The sequence below is a fragment of the Homo sapiens genome, chromosome 9, assembly GCF_000001405.40.
Source record: "Homo sapiens chromosome 9, GRCh38.p14 Primary Assembly".
NCBI lineage: Eukaryota > Metazoa > Chordata > Mammalia > Primates > Hominidae > Homo > Homo sapiens.
In genome coordinates this window covers 32,320,782-32,338,410 of record NC_000009.12, presented here as the reverse complement: position 1 = coordinate 32,338,410, position 17,629 = coordinate 32,320,782, and the positions used below count along the sequence as shown (strand labels likewise).

General features: G+C 39.1%; 1 long non-coding RNA gene and 1 pseudogene across 4 annotated transcripts in view, besides 1 other annotated feature; both read left to right on the top strand.

The window, feature by feature from the left end:
- Positions 1-17,629, top strand: part of LOC107987059 (uncharacterized) — a 69,745-nt gene that overhangs the window by 13,614 nt on the left and 38,502 nt on the right. The window contains exon 1 of one of the 4 annotated variants that reach the window (XR_007061445.1): positions 10,295-13,936. The exons of the other annotated variants lie outside the window; for them this stretch is intronic. This is a non-coding gene — a long non-coding RNA (uncharacterized LOC107987059). Of the gene's footprint in view, positions 1-10,294; positions 13,937-17,629 lie in introns of those variants that run through there. 4 annotated transcript variants of the gene reach the window in all.
- Positions 3,980-5,216, top strand: SLC25A5P8 (solute carrier family 25 member 5 pseudogene 8; annotated as a pseudogene).
- Positions 6,863-7,063: a silencer, noted in NCBI's record as "peak7216 fragment used in MPRA reporter construct". NCBI's record gives its function as "represses an SCP1 promoter by STARR-seq MPRAs in K562 erythroleukemia cells {active_cell/tissue: K562}" and the evidence as "EXISTENCE:reporter gene assay evidence [ECO:0000049][PMID:32103011]".

The following is a 17,629-nucleotide window of genomic DNA, read 5'->3' as shown; positions in this document are numbered from 1 at the left end:
TTTCAAGGTTTTTGGCCATCTTTTTTTTTTTTTTTTTTTTTTTTTTTGACTGAATTAGTTTCACAGCCTCTGGCAGCTTGATGTTAAGCAATTGTGGCTGTTTTTGACAAATGCACTGAGAATAGACTTTTTCTTATTGAGTGACTCTGAGTCAGGTCAAATAAAGAGAAACCCTATGAATGGGGCTTTTCATTTCTTTTCCTTAACTGTTATTTTAGGCTCAGGAGTACATGTGCAGGTTTGTTATATAGGTAAACTCATGTCACAGGGGTTTGTTGTACAGATTATTTTGTCACCCAGGTACTAAGCCTAGTACCCAATAATTATTTTTTCTGACCTTTTCCCTCCTCCCACCCTCCACCCTCAAGTAGGCCTCAGCGTCTATTGTTACCTTCTTTGTGTCCATGAGTTCTCATCAATTAGTTCCCACTTATAAGTTAGAACATGTGGTATTTGGTGTTTTGTTCCTCCATTAGTTTGCTAAGAATAATGGCCTCCAGCTCAATTCATGTGTCTGCAAAAGACATGATCTCATTCTTTTTTATGGCTTCACAGTATTCCTTGGTGTATATGTACCACATTTTCTTTATCCAATCTGTTACTGATGGGCACTTAGGTTGATTCCATGTCTTCGCTATTGTAAATAGTTCTGCAGTGAACATATGCATGCATGTGTCTTTATGACAGAACAATGTATATTCCTTTGGGTATATACTCAGTAATGGGATTGCTGGGTTGAATGGTAGTTCCGTTTTTAGCTCTTTGAGAAATTGCCACTGCTTTCCCCAATGATTGAGCTAATTTACACTCTCACCAATAGTGTATTAGCATTCCCCTTTCTCTGCAACCTTGTCAGCATCTGTTATTTTTTGACTTTTCAGTAATAGCAATTCTGATTGGTGTGAGGTGATATCTCATTGTGGTATTGATTTGCATTTCTCTAATGATCAGTGATACTGAGCGTTTGTTTATATGCTTGTTGGCTGCATGGAATCTTCTTTTGAAAAGTGTCTGTTCATGTTCTTTGCCCACTTTTTAATGGGGTTGTTTGTTTTTTCCTTGTTAATTTGTTTAATTTTCTTATAGATATTGGATATTAGACCTTTGTCAGATGCATAGTTTGTAAATATTTTCTCCCATTCTGTATGTTGTCCATTTACTCTGTTAATAGTTTCTTTTGCTGTGCAGTTCTTAAGTTTAATTAGATGCAAATGAGGCTTTTCCAGAGAGCTTTCAGGTAGGTCAAATAGTGGCAATTCTCTGTGGCATTTTAGGAAGCTCTAAACCTGTTCTTTCCTCTCTGGTGGCTGTTAAGCTGCTGGTGTTTATAGTTTCTAAGGCTGCCTATTTTCAAGGCTATTACAGAGCTGGGGAGAGTAGACTAGATAAATTCAAACACCACAAAGCTCGCTCTTTCTAAGTGAGATTCAGCCACTTTTCTTGAATAAATGCTTCTTGGATCCTTGTAAGCCTTTAGTTAATTTGTAGAGCTCTAAGAAAGTTAATTTTAATTTTAACTATTTTTTTGGACTAGCGTTCTTATTGCTTTTATGGAGCAATGAATTTTTAGAGGTTCTTACTCTACCATACTAGAATTACTTCTCTCCAGTCCCTTCATTCTTACTTGTGTGTTTATCAGCATTAAAAGTCAATGAGAAATAAATGGGCTCCTGGGTGCCTACATACCTCTGCAGAGATGAGGCAATAACAGTGTGTGGTTGTCTAGCATGACTGGTCTGCAGCAGTGAGTATCTGAGAACCTGTTGTTTCAGCTGGAACTTTTCTTAACCTGGAAAGGAGCAAACAGCTTAGACCTGGAGAACAAAGGAAACAACACTGGTCAACAGCAGTGGTTGCACGTATAGGGCCTCTGGGTAAGTGTTGAATGCAGTAGGCTAAACTAATGAAATATCAAAAACTCAACTGTTACAGCTCACTTTTGTCTCATTTCACAGTAGAAAAAGATACCACACTGTGAAAGTTCTTGTCCAGACTTTTGTTTTTAATGTAAAAATGGATGCTTCTGCTTAGAGATAGAGGATATTGTTCATATGTTTCCAGTGCTTGCTTTCCCTTCTTTGACCTCCTATTCATTGATAGTGGCTGAAGCTCACCCATTTACCTCTTCCCTTATTCTTCTTTCCTTTAAGACCAGAGTCCATAGCGGTGAATTCAGACAGTATCGTGTGAGCTGGGAAATACTTGTGTAGAGTGTTGGTTTTTGCATTTATTAACTTCAAAGAATCAAATGAGAAAGTCTAAATCAAGACTGGGAATAACTCCTTATTTTGAACTCATATTTGCCTTTTTACACAACTATTATCTAAAACTAACTAATACACAACTATTAACCAAAGCCTAGACCAAGAGTCAATAGTTATGTAAGAAGGCTAATTTGAGTTCAAAATAAGGAATTATTTTCAAAAAACAACAGCTCTAAATGTAGCTCAGTTGCCATTTCCTCTGTGAAGTCTTCCTCACTTTCCCTGGCGGAGCAAGTTTTTCCTTTTGTAGCACTTGATACGTCTCATCTTTTACCACCTTCTCATTGTATTATAGGTATTTACCCACATGTTTATCTAGTTTAGTGGTTTTCAGCCAGGGGCAATTTTGCCCCACTTTGGATGTTTGGCAATGTTTGGAAATATTTTTGTTTGGCACATGCGAGTAGAGGGTGGTGCTGGCAGCTAGTGGGTAGAGGCTATGGAGTTGCCAAACATCCTACAATGCACAGATGGCTCTCCACAACAAAGAATTCTCCCTCTCTGAATGTCAGGATTGCTGAGATTCAGAAACTGCTTTGTCCATGACATTTGAGGGCAGGGAGCTTGCAGCTACACATATAAGACATAATAAATGGTAAACATATCAATCGGTTAAAGAAGAGAGTAAAAAGTCTGTTTCCTTATTGGTCTTGCAGTTACAACCAGTGGTTTGAGGGCTTAAAATGATGCATTTACATTTTTCTTTTCCTGGTCACTGAGAAGGAAATCCAGAAAGATCAAACATCCATTTATTCATATGAGTAAATGTCAAAAATACATGAAAGATGTCAACCTGAGATGCACTGCGGGCAAGCTGGAAAATGAAATCCTGACATTTCTTCAGAAAGGCGTCACTCAGCCTTACCTTAGCTGATGGGGCTGGCACTCCTCATTTGTCAGAATAGGCATGGCCTTTTATCTGAGTTTGTTTTACTCCTCAGTGTGGCTTTGGGTTGTGGATTTGATTTGCTATTCTCTGTTATGCACAGAGTCTCAAGATAACACGATGTAGAGAGATGCCCAGAACCAGGCAGCCTGTGCACAGATGACAGAGGGATGGGAGGCAAAACATGAAGGAGAAACTTTCTGCTTCTATTTATTGCCATGTGAAAAGAAACCATGATCTTGCTTGTTGGAGAGAAAAGATAAAGAGCATGGAGGAAGAGATAGCTTGACTCTCCAGACTTTGGGGCTCACTTACAGTAGGCATCACTGTGCAAACTGCACTAGGTGGGGTGGCATCTTCCAGACATTGCTTTTGCAGGGAAAGTGAGCCCAGGTCTAACAACATATACACATGTCCTCTGTCTGTCAGTGTCCCTGTCAGGATATGTGTACACAAAGCAAAAGCACAGGACTTGGAAAAGTTTGTCAAAGGGACTTATGTAAAAATAATTAATGAATAAATGATTTAGGAAGAGATGAGGGTTTTTGTAAAAATTCAAGCAGTTGCTATTCATTGAGTATTTACTCTGCCAGGACTTTTGCTAAATGTTTTCATTTCCTCTTCATTCCTGTGAGTTAAGAATGTTCATCTTTTTATAGATAAAAAAAATGCAGAAACAACAACAACAACTGAGGTTCAGAGATGTCAGCTAGCTTGCCTGAGGTTGCGGAGCTTGTGTGGTAGAGTTAGGATATGAACCTAGACCAATGATGCATTACTTTAAGGGAAGGGCTTTAGTTCCTTTGAAATCTGCAAAAAGCAAGACAGGCCCCACAGCCCCGGAGTCAAAGCCAGTTCCCATCCCAGTCCCATCCCTTAGCCACCTGCCTCCTCTTTCCTTTCAACATGACACATACCACTCTGTCCTTCGCTGAGGACTTCCTGGCAGGTGGTGTCGCTGTGGCCATCCCCAAGATGGCAGTAGTGCCCATCGAGGGGGTCAAGCTGCTGCTGCAGGTGCAGCATGCCAGCAAGCAAATCACCACAGATAAGCAATACAAAGGCATTATAGACTGTGTGGTCCGTATTCCCAAGGAGCAGGGAGTCCTATCCTTCTGGCGCGGTAACCTGGCCAATGTCATCAGATAATTCCCCACCCAGGCTCTCAACTTCACCTTCAAAGATAAAAACAAGCAGATCTTCCTGGGTGGTGTGGACAAGAAGACCCAGTTTTGGCATGACTTTGCAGGGAATCTGGCATCGGGCAGTGCCGCTGGGGCCACATCCTTATGTTTTGTGTACCCTTTTGGTTTTGCCCATACCTTTCTAGCAGCCGATGTGGGTAGACCTGGAGGCGAAAGGGGATTCAGAGATCTCGATGACTGCCTGGTTAAGATCTACAAATCGGATGGGATTAAGGGCCTGTACCAAGGCTTTAACGTGCCTGTGCAGGGTATTGTCATCTACCAAGCTGTCTACTTCAGTATCTATGGCACTGTAAAGGGAATGCTTCCAGATCCCAAGAACACTCGCATCGTCATCAGCTGGATGATGGCACAGTCCATCACTTCCATTTGCTGGGTTGACTTCCTATCCATTTGACACTGTTTGCCGCTGCATGATGATGCAGTCAGAACTCAAAGCAACTGACATCATGTACACAGGCACACTTGACTGCTGGAGGAAGATTGCTCGTGATGAAGGAGACAAAGCTTTTTTCAAGGGTGCATGGTCCAATGTCCTCAGAGGCATGGGTGGTGCTTTTGTGCTTGTCTTGTGTGATGAAATCAAAAAGTACACATAAGTTATTTCCTAGGATTTTTTCCCCCTGTGAGCAGGCATGTTGTATTATATAACATATCTTGAGCATTCTTAACAGACTCCTGGCTGTCAGTTTATCAGTGGGAACTATTTACTGGTTGAAAATGGGAAGCAATAATATTCATCTAACCAGTTTTCTCTTAAAGCCATTTCCATGATGATGATGATGGGACTCAATTATATTTTGTATTTCAGTCACTCCTGATAAATAACAAATTTGGAGAAATAAAAATAAGTAAAATAAAAAACAGAAGCAAGGCAGTTGAGGAGGTAGAATTCAGTCAGCAAGCACCCATTGTCCACTCTGTTCAGTAGAAACCCTAGGAAGTGTTCTTTCACTTGGGTTTTAATGAAGACAACAAAAGAATCAGATAGCACCGACAGAATCCATCCACTGTAATAAGAACTGTAGCCACTTAATTATACATATATGGCTTATAACTCTTCAGGCCACAAACTGTGGGTGGAGTGATAGACACTGCCACCATCCATATGTCACAGACTAGTCCCCATCAGCTAATGAGGAAACCCAGCCTCTTGTGAAACATTGCAAGATTTTCTGAGTCAAGGGGTTTCTTCCAGATCCTTATGCATATGTCAGACAGCTTGCTGCAGCACCTTTCATTTCCCTCCTCTATCTTTGACCTGACTACTGCCAGGCACTATCAGTGTGGTGCAGAACTTCAGAGTGTAGGCTCTGGAGTCAGACTCTCACCAACCATATTCTGCTTCTGCCACTAACTTGCGGAGAACTTGGATAATTAGCTTACATCTGCTTTCCTTACTTATAGAATGAGAATAATGATGATTCCTCCATCAAATAGTTGTAAGGATTAACTGAAGGAATCCATTCAAAGTGCTTAGCATGGTGCCTTGCAAACAGACCTCCTTAAAGGTTGGCTATTATTATTTTTAATTGCACTATATCTTCCATGAATGATAAGAAGCAGCAGCATTTAGAAGCTGCTTCGGTAGAGCACTCTTTAAAGAACTACCTGGGGACAAACCCCCTTGGAGCCAGGAAGCTTTTAAATATGGAGAGAAAAATGGGAGAAGATGGTGACTCCCAGCCAAATAGACTGGGCTCCTCTCAACTCCTTCTCACATCTCCAAGGCACTGTGGAGAGTTTTATTTTTAATTCAAAACCATAGGTTAAAACTTTTTATTAAACCTGTCATAATAATGTCATGTCTGGCATGCCTAAACATGTAATTTGTGTTATATAGCTATGATTTTCTGTGTGGGTACGTATAAACATACATATATACACACACACATAATTTTCTATATATAGAAATTTCTGTATATGTAGATTATATAAAATTCTATATATCTAGACTTTGTAGAATAAAAATTTCTGTATATACCTATATACCTGTATATACCTATATACCTGTATATACACGAGATTTTCTGTATGTGTGCATTTATATATAAATATATACTTACATATACTTAAATATATATAATTTGTGTGTGCATATATATAAAACATATACGCGTGTGTGTGTGTGTGTGTGTTTGTGTGTGTATGTATTTGGGTGTGCTGGGCGGTAGAGAGCCCTTTTCTGTGATGTTATAAAGACGCTTGATTCTTAAAAAATTTAAGCACAAGTTGAAATGTATATTCCTTGACTCTGGGTATTATGACTCAGGAGGCTGGGCAAGGCAGAAATAATTTTAAACAAGCATTTCAGGTATCTTAGAGGCAGGTGGTCCAGAAAGTCCTGGAACAATATCTAAGGTAAAGTTTGTGGAACCAACTTTTCGGGAGAGGTTATCAAAGTGTCCATGATGGATGTCCTTCCTGGTCCCTCTGTTGTCTTCAGAGTTTTTCAGCCTCTTTAATGAATGTGAGAGCTGGCACCACTGAAGTGGAGGGAATTACTCCCCACTCTTTCCAAGTCTTTTTGAGACTCTTGTTAGACACTTCATTACACAGTAAAGCCACACCCTTCATTTATCTTGAGTTGCAGAGAAATCTGAGTATGAGGTTGTTTTTGCCTAACACTGTTATCAGTGGGGAACACACGGGATTGGATGAAACCTGAATTCACGCTCGTAGGGAAATCCTAAACTTTAAAGACAGGCTCAGTGGAGGCAATATTTAATTCTGCGTACAAGTACCTCTCTCTGTCTGAAACAGAAAGATCCTCATTATAATTGACCAGAGTTCTTCTTTGCAAGTAAGATCATCCACTCTACTAAGTCTTAAGTCAAAGCATAAGAGGCATTTGTTAAAAAAATTTAAAAAAGTTTACAAAACCTCCAGGTAGGCCAGGAGACTCTGAGATCAGGAACAATGCCCAAATGCATCTCAGGCCTGTTTCAGGGACAACCCTCCTGCGTTGCTGTGGGAAGTTCCATTATAGGTTTATCTGATTGTAGAATCTAAGTCACATGTCTTTCCAGCTGTATATTGAAGCTGGCTCAAACCAGGTCATGAGAGTTGATTGTTAAGTTTCATATACTTTATTTTTTTAATTTTAATTTTTGTTTATGCTTTTATTGATACATAAAAGATGTACATATTTTAGGGGTACATGTGGTAATTTGTACATTCATTTGATACATTCATATAATCAAATCAGGGTAATTGGGACATCTATTACCTTAAATATTTATCTTTTCTTTAGGAAGATTGGAATTATTCTCTTTTAGCTATTGAAATGTACAATAGATTAATGTTAACTATAGTCACGCCGATGATCCATTGAACACCAGATCTTATTTCTTCTAGCTACTGTATATCTGTACCCACAAACCAACTTCTCTTCATCCCCTCCTTCCCCATACTATCTCGGCCTCTGGAAAACACCAATCTACTCGGTATCTTCATGAGATCCACTATTTTTTAGCTCCCAATATGAGTGAGAACATGTGATATTTGTCTTTCTGGGCTTGGCTTAGTTCGCGTAACATAATGACCTTGGGTTTCATCCATGCTGCTGCAAATTACAGAATTTCATTCTTTTTTATGTCTGAATAATATTCCATTGTGTATATATATACCACATTTCTCTAACCATTTATCCATTGATGGGCACCTTGGTTGAATTCATATTTTGGCTATTGTGAATAGTGCTGCAATAAATGTGGGAGTGCCGATATCTTTTTATTATATTGATTTACTTTCTTTTGGGTGTATACCTAGCAGTAGAATTGCTGGCTTATGTCATAACTCTATATTTAGATTTTTGAGGAATTTCCATACTGTTTTCTATAGTGGCTGTACTAATTTACATTCCCACCAACATTGTATGAGAGTTCCCTTTTCTCTACATCCTTGCCAGCACCTATTATTTCCTGTCTTTTTGTCCAAAGCTATTCTAATTGTGGTAAGGTGATATCTCTCTGTAGTTTTGTTTTGAATTTTTCTGATGATTAGTGATGTTGAACATTTTTTCATATATCTGTTGGCCATTTATGTGTCTTTTGAGAAATGTCTATTCAGATCTTTTGCCTATTTTCAAATCAGGTTATTATTTTTTGCTATTGAATTGTTTGAGTTCCTTATATATTCTAGTTTTTAATCTTTTGTCAGATGGATAGTTTGAAGATGTTTTTATTCATTTTGTGGATTGTCTCTTCACTTTGTTGATTATTTTTTTGCTGTGCAGAAGTTCTTTTGCTTGACGTAATCCTGTTTTTCTGTTTTTGCTTCAGTTGCCTGGGCTTTTGAGGTCTTACTCAAAAAGTCTTTATCAAGACCAATGCTATGGAGCATTTCCCAAACATTTTCTTACAGTAGTTTCACATTTGAGTTCTTAGATATAAATATTGAATCATTTTGATTTGATATTTGCATGTGGTGAGAGATAGGGTCTAATTTTATTCTTTGGCATACGATATTGGTTTTCCCAGCATCATTTATTGAAGAGACTCCCCCTTCCCTATTGTATGATTTTGGTGCCTTTGTTGAAATGAGTTGGCTATAAATTTGTGGATTTATATCTGAGTACTTTATTCTATTCCATTGGTCTATGTGTTGTTCTTGTGCCAGTACCATGCTGATTTGGTTACTATAGCTTTGTAGGATATTTTGAAGTCAGATAGTGTGATGCCTGTGCCTTTATTCTTTTTGCTCAGAATTTTTTTATTTTTGGCTATTCAGGGTTTTTATGGTTCCATATAAATATTAGGATTGTTTTTCTATTTCTGTGAAGAATGTTATTGGTATTTTGATAGAGATTGCTTTGAATCTGTAAATTGCTTTGAGTAGTATTGTCATTTTAACAATTTAAATTATTTCAGTCCATGAGCATGGAATATTTTTCCATGTTTTTGGTGTCCTCTTCAATTTCTTTCATCAGTGGTTTATAATTTTTCTTGTATAGATCTTTCACTTCTTTGGTTGACTTGATTCCTAGGTGTTTTATATTATTTGTAGCTATTGGAAATAACATTGCTTTCTGGATTTCTTTTTCAGATCATTTGCTGTTGGTGTGTACAAATGCTAACGGTTTTTGTGTCAATTTTGCCTCGGCTCAAACAACTGATCAGTGCCTGCCTGTCCCAAATCGGGGAGGTCCCAAAGGGGATAGCTCAGCCCTGTGGAAAGGCTGTCTGGAGATTCATGCCCAGGGGGCCTGCAGAACATGCCTCCTACAGCACGGTGCTGCTGAACAGCCAGTCTGATTTGGCATCTTCTTTGGAAGAGTTACAGAGGAGAGTTTCCAGGGCTGGAAATGGTAGTTCCATCTCTACTCTTTCTCTCTGGCTTTCCTCAGGGATATTTTTTCCCTTTAGTCACTCATGATGTTTCCCATGGGTTGAGTCAGGAATGGGTCTCTTGCCAGGGAACCCAAGATGGTGGCGAAGCTGGTTCTCCACTTTAATCTCACTTTTTCCAGTGTATAAACTGTGTAAAGGGAAATTTTCTACGTACTTGATGCCAGGCAGATTGGGGTGAGTGATTTCAGGATATGGAAATCTGATTTTCTTACTGTCTTCTTGTCATTTTTTTGCTTCTTTGTGGCCCTGGGAACCAATTCATCCTCATATTTTAGTTCTGGGATATTGTTGATGATAATTTCAGTGCTGTATATTTATTTTGGGTTTTCTGTGTGTGTGTGTGTGTTGGAGTTGCATCTGTGATGCCATTTTGGAATTGGAAGACCCCAGTTTCAGGAATTTTAAAAGCCAGTTTTAAACTGTTGGAAACTTGACATAGGCCATGGTAGGAGTGTAGGTGTACCTTATTTTATTGTCTTTTACTTTATTGTGTTTTGCAGATATTGTATTTTCTACGGATTGAAGATTTGTGGCAACCCTATATCCAGCAAGACCGTTGGTGCCATTTTTCCAACAGCGTGTGCTTACTTCATGTCTCTGTGTCACATTTTGATAATTCTCACAATATTTCAAACTTTTTCATTATCATATCTGCTGTAGTGATCTGTGTTCAGTGATCTTTAATGCTACCATTGTAATTATTTTCGGGCACCACGAACTGTGCCTTTGTATTCCCTGAGACAGAACAGTATTAAAATTAGGCTAATGAGTAACTTTACGATGGCCTCTAACTGTTCAAGTGAAAGGAAGAGGCTCATGTCTCTCACTTTAAATCAAAAGCTAGAAGTGATTAAGCTTAGTGAGAAAGGCATGTCAAAAGCCAAGGCAGGCTGAAAGCTATGCCTCTTGCACCACACAGCCAAGTTGTGAATGCAAATGAAACATTATTGAAAGAATTTAAAAGTGCTACTCCAATGAACACACGACTGATCAGAAAGCAAAACAGCCTTATTGCTGATATGGAGAAAGTATGAGTGGCTGGGATAGAAGATTAAACCAGCCATAATGTTCCTTAAGCCAAAGCCTAATCTGGAGAAAGACTCGAACTCTCTTCAATTTAATGAGGCTGAGAGGGGTGAGGAAGCTGCACAAGAAAAGTTTGAGGCTAACAGAGATTAGTTAATGAGTTGTTTCCGTAACATGAAAGTGCAAGATGAAGCAGCAAATGCTAATGTAGAAGCTGCAGCAAGTTATCCAGAAGATCTGGCTAAGATCATTGGTGAAGGTGGCTTCACTAAAAAATAGATTTTCAGTACAAACCAAACAGCCCTCTATTGGAAGAAGATGCTCTCTAGAAATTTTACAGCTAGAGAGGAGAAGTCAATGTCTGACTTCGAAGCTTCAAAAAATAGGCTGATTCTCTTGTTAAGGTATAATGCAGCTGGTGACCTTAAGTTGATGCTTAAATGCTCATTTATCATTCTGAATATCCTAGGACCCTTAATAATTATGCTAAATCTACTCTGCCTATGCTGTATAAATGGAACAACAAGACCTGGATGATAGCATATCTGTTTATAGTATGGTTTGTTGCATATTTTAATCCCACTATTGATACCTACTGCTCAGAAAAAAGGATTCTTTACAAAATGTTGCTGCTCATTGACAATATACCTGTTCACTCAAGAGCTCCGATGGAGATGCACAGGAGATTAATGTTTTTATGCCTGCAAAGACAACATTCATTATGTAGTCTATGGATCAAGGAGAAATTTTGACTTTCAAATATTATTATTTAATAAATACATTTTGTAAGGCTACAGCTGCCATAGTGATTCCTCTGATGAATCTGGGCAAACTAAATGGAAAAGCTTCTGGAAAGGATTCACCATTCCAGATGCCATTGAGAACATTCATAATCGAGGCTAGGAGGTGAAAATATCAATGTTAACATGAGTTTGGAAGAAGTTAATTCCAATCTTTATGGATGAGTTTGAGGGATTCAAGACTTCTTTGGGAGAAGTAACCACAGATGTAGTGGAAACAGCAAGAAAACTAGAAGGGTAGCCTAAAGATGTGACTGAATTGCTGCAATCTCATGGTCAAACTGTAATGAGTGAGGAGTTGCTTCTTACATATGAGCAAAGAAAGTGGTTTCTTGAGATAGAATCTATTCCTGGTGAAGATTCTGTGAACAATGTTGAAATAATGGCAAAGTATTTCAAATATTACATAAACTTAGTTGATAAAGCAGTGGCAGGATTTGAGAGGATTGACTCCAGTTTCAAAAGAAGTAAAAGAAGTTGTGCTGTAAATAAAATGCAATCAAACAGCATTGCGTACCACAGATAAATCTTTCATGAAAGGATGAGTCAATTGATGCCGCAAACTTCATAGTTGTCTTATTGCAAGAAATTGCCATAGCCTTCCCAACCTTCAGCAACCACCAGCCTGATCAGTTAGCAGTCATCAACAATGAGGCAAGACCCTCCACCAGCAAAAGGTTATGACTTGCTGAAGGCTCAGATGATCATTACCATTTTTTAGCAATAAAGTAATTTTAAATTAAGGTATACACATTGTTTTTTAAAGACATAATGCTATTGCACACTTAATAGACTACTATATAGTATAAACATAACTTTTATACACACTGCAAAACCAAAAAATTCATGTGACTTGCTTTGTTACAATATTTGTTTTACTGTGGTGGTCTGGAACCAAACCTGCAATATGCCTGAGGTATAGCTATATTTACACCACGGAAACTGGAAAATGCAATTTCCAAACTAGGGCTTTTTTCTTCCCCGGGAAAGGTGATTGTGAAATATTTAGCAGTATATCACTGCAAATGATAGTTCAGTCTCATATCTCCTTTGGGAAGGAGGAGGTCTAATAGTGTATGAAATTTTCTAAACATAGGAATTCTGTTTAAAATATGCTATGCAGCTACCAACAGCCATTGATTGCAAGGTTTCCTCCACTTCACTCCCTTGTCAAAGTATCTTTTGATGCCTGATAATGCAGTGAGATAGAACTGCAAATGTACTTTAGGTTATAGCCAGAATTTACAGCCTTGTTTCCCCTCTATTGGACATTGTTCCAAGCAACACTGTTTTCCCGGAAATACTGCAGACTGTTTATTTAAGGACAAAAGGGGACCATGTGGCTTTTTGAAATGTCACTGTCAAGCACTGGGCCATGACAATTCTGACCAAGTATGGCAGTGTTCTAGTATTAGGTCTCCAGGAATTATTCCCAGGAGGCGAGTAGTCTTCAAAGATAAAATGATGGTGCAGATGGTCACACAGCACGTATGAGAGAGATATACCAAGAGAGACACTCCATCTCTACAAAAAAATAATGAGAAGGTGGGCGTGGTGGCTCATGCCTGTAATCCCAGCACTTTGGGAGGCCGAGGTGAGTGGATCACCTGAGGTCAGGAGTTCGAGATCAGCCTGACCAACATGGAGAAACCCTGTCTCTACTGAAAATACAAAATTAGCTGGGCATGGTGGTACATGCCTGTAATCCCAGCTACTTTGGAGGCTGAGGCAGGAGAATTGCTTGAACCCGGGAGGTGGAGGTTGCAGTGAGCCAAGATTGTGCCATTGCACTCCAGCCTGGGCAACAAGAGCGATACTCCATTTCAAAATAATAATAATGATGATAATAATAATTATTATAATAAGGAGAAACTTACTTGGCAAATTCAGAGATGGGAAATCTTGAAAGAGTCTCTCAATTGGAAATGAAGGAAATTGGGCAGCATTTTCTTCTTCATTTCTCACCTTCTCCTCTAGGTACCAGACAGACTCCTGGGAAGTCAGGGAAGTCAGGAGAAAAAGTTTCAGTCTCGCCTAGGACAGATAGGACAGAAAGCTCATGTTGACAAGCCAGAGCTGAGGGGGCTGCCACCAGTTAAGATCTTCTCAAGCACAAGCATTCCAGTACTATTAGCCCTCCCTTGGACACAAAGAGTAGTGGCCAGACTGGGGTCATGCTCAACGTGGGGTAGCAGAGATGTCTGTGGTGCCCAGAAGTAGAGAAACAGTTCCAGGCTCCAAGCAGAGTGTTTTGAAAAAGACTTTTTTTGTGAAGTATCATGAAGCCCTCTCTCAGCTGCAAAGGACTCTTTATCAGTGACAGCAGTGACTGTAGTGATGGGTGCAGGGGACAGACCATTCAACCCAGCTGAAAGGTATCCTAGGGAACCAGTGAGGAGCCCTGGTGAGTAACAGTCACTGCACCCCACTGCCCATTAAAATAAAATAACAAATGTCTCTAATTATAAAAGTAATACATATTTTTGTAGAAAATTTAGACAATATTGAGAAATATAAAGAAAAAAATTTAAAATATTATGATTATCTTGCCACCACCTAAACATTTCTAACTTTTTCTTTCAGTCATTTTTTCTATGTGAGATCATACTGTATATTCTGTAGGCTATATTTTTTCTTAACCTCATGTCACAAGTACTTATTTATATTATTATATTTGTAATTATAACCATTTAAAATAATTGCACAATATTCCATTATATATGTATATGTGCCCACACACATCTATCTTATCCATCCATCTATCTATCTATCTATCTATCAATCTATCAATCATCTATCATCTGTCATCTATCTATCTAATTCATTATTAAAAAGACTGGAGTCCGGGTGTAGAGGTGCACATCTATAATTCTGACTATCGCTGAGAGGATTATTTGAACCTGGAATTTGAGGTGAGCCTGGGCAACCTAGTGAGATCCTGGCTCTTAAAAAGAAGACTGTAATAAACATCAATATTTATGTGCATTTCTGATTATTTCCTTAAGTTAGATTTCCAGCATAGAAATAAAATTAATAGGCACTTAAAGTCTGTTGATATGGCTTCCTAAAAAGACTTTCTGAATTATTATCTAGATTCTTGTCTTGAGTACAGTTTAATGTTATGTTAAGCACAGGCTTTGAGTCCAGAAAGAAGTGGATTTAAGTTTTCACCCTGCCACTTCCAAGCTGTCTCATTTTGGTCCTCTAACCCTCATTTCCTCTTCTGCAGGGTGGGGAGAGCAACATCTGCTTTGTAGGGCTGTTGTATGGATTATGTGGAATAATGTATGTAAAACCCTTAGCCTAGGAGCTGGCCCACAGCAAGTGCACCGGATACCTCATGTACCATCACACATTCTTGCGGCGGCCTCAACTCCGGTGCAACATGGTATCACCTGTTCCATACAGGCCTGGCCTGCTTCATACAGATGCAACCTGACAGCTCCCTAACATTCTCACTTTCTTCTCAGGGATGTTCTGACACCTGCAGTGGGCACTCCTGTGTGTGCAACTCAGAAATGCAAGAGATTTAATATCTTTCTGGGCAGCCCGTGACCAGTGGTGAAGGCAACCAATGGATGAACCCTATCCCCTTTCTTTCCTGGATGGATGATTCTGAGAAGTGTCTCATAAGGTCCTGCCTTTCCCTGCTTTGCTAAACTACTTCCCTGTTCTGCATTCCTGCTCCCTCAGGTTCCATTCTCAAATAAGTCATCACCATGTGAGCCTTTGTCTCAGGCTCTGCTTTTGAGGAACCCAGGCTAAAATAGGAAGCATCAATAAATGTTAGTTTTTATGAACATTATTGCTGATCTTGTAAATGCCCCTCATCTAGAATATTGCTGCAGGAAATTCAATCACCTACCAGCTGTTTCTAGGGCTTCCTAGAAATCCTTATTCCATCCTTGCAGGTGCACAGCTTTTGTTGCTTCTGCCCTTCCTCTCGCCCTCTCTATATCCCTTCCCTATGCTACTCCGGCCTTCCTGGTCTGCTTCTCCTAGAGCTATGAATACGCAGGCTTCCCCCAACCTACCCCTTTCTTTTCCCAGGCATGCTTAGTCCAGCGCTTCGTGGGCAACAGAGATGCATATGGAAAACCCATGGGGACACGCTTGCTTCACCAAATAAGGGTATTTCCCTTTTCCTTGGAAAAAAGAATGAACAAATGATGGTTGTTAAGTAAACATTACTAAAATCTGTGCCCTTTCCCAGAAGTATATCGTGCATATTTATTTTAATAAGGCAAGAGAACAAATAACAGTTTCTAGAGGCAAGGGAAACAGCTGATTTACTGTCCTCCTTTTAGAACATAGCTCAAGAGACTGGGTTTTGTTTTTGTTTTTGCATAAGTAATCTTAGATCCATCCTCTATATTTCTACTGCTCCCCCTGGGCCTTTGTTATGACTTCATCATTTCCTGACTGGCTGACTGGTACTGTGTTATAACCACCCTTTCCCTCCACACTTCCATCAGAGTTGCCCTCTTATAACTCACATGTGATTATTGCACTCTACTGCTTAGAACCTGTCAATGGGTCCCACTGTCCAGATTACAGTGTCTATATTTCCCTTATAATCAGCCCTGCCTATTTCTCAGAGTATCTTTCTCCACTAATTTTTCCTCACAGTGCACCTAAGCCAGCAGTTCTCAGCTTCAACATCACCTGCCAACTTTTTAGAAAATCAGATTTGTGGGCCCACTTCAGACCTATTCAATATGAAACTCTGGGGATGAGGCCCAGTAATCTGTGCTTTAATAAACTCTCCAAGTGACTTTGATGCATGCTAAATTTGAGAGCCACTCACCAAAGTGAAGCAGGTGCAGTGTATGCAGTTTGAATTGCCCTTAATCCCCTAATGCACCTAGAATTTCCTACTCATCCTTCAAAAGTCATCACCTCTTTCATGAAGCCTTCTCTGCCTTCATCTAACAGTGTTTACCATTCCCTGCTTGGTATCTCCAGGACACTTCCATTGTGAAGTGTAAAACACTGTTTTGCAATTCTTGCAAACTTACTTGTCCATCTCCCTGACTAGACTATGAGATGCTCATGGGAAATACTCTCTAAAAGCTTGTTTTAACTTTCTCTTTCCTGTTGGTCTCTCTCTGTCTTCATGCACACATGTATACGGCTTCCATAAAGAAGACTGCAGAATAGAATAGGGAACCACTGTTTAAAGTTCATTGCCCTTTCCACCAATTGGGATCTCATTCTGGCTGCCTTTTTTCCCTTTATATCTTATTCAATAAGCTTTTATTTAATTTTAACTTTTTTGTTAGTTTTTAAACTTTAAACTTTTTTATTTCTAATTTTTATGGGTACATAGTAGATGTATATACTTATGGGGTACATGAGCTAGTTTGATACGGGCACAAAATGTGTAATAATCACACCAGGGTAAATGAAGTATTCATTATGTCAAGAATTTATTTCTTTGTGTTACAAACAATCCAGTTATATGCTTAGTTATTTTAAAATGTACAATAAATTATTGTTGATTGTAGTCATCCTGTTGTGCTGTGAAATACTAGATCTTATTCATTCTATCTAACTACATTTTTGTACCCATTAACCATCCTCACTGTCCCCCTACCCTCTACCAGCTACCCTCCCAGCCTCTGGTAACCATCATTCTGCTCTCTACCTCCATGAATTCAACTGTTTTAATTTTTAGCTCCCACAAATGAGTGAGAACATGCGAAGTTTGTCTTTCTGTCCTGGCTGCCTCTTTTTGTCTGTCATCACAAGGTGTGTAACTGACTTTGCCCCAGGTATTAAGAAACAGATACAGTCACCTCTCAAAAAAGGGGGCCAGTTATCAGAAACAGGTCAGTTCCTGGCACTATCGATGAGTAATTCTGTTTGCTTTATGACCCTGACTCTCCTTTAAAAATGAATCAGTTGAAGCTGTAGTTGATTATGCTTTCTTTTCGGTCTTAGACCTACAAAGACTTTTTACTGACTTAGTAAATAAAAGCTAAGCCACTTAAAGAAACCTTGAAGTTGTCTGTTTAGGGGCATTAGTCTGTGTTATCATCTAGGGACAAACCTGTGACTCTCTTCTCTCTGTGTTATAAGAGTTGGTTTTGGGCTA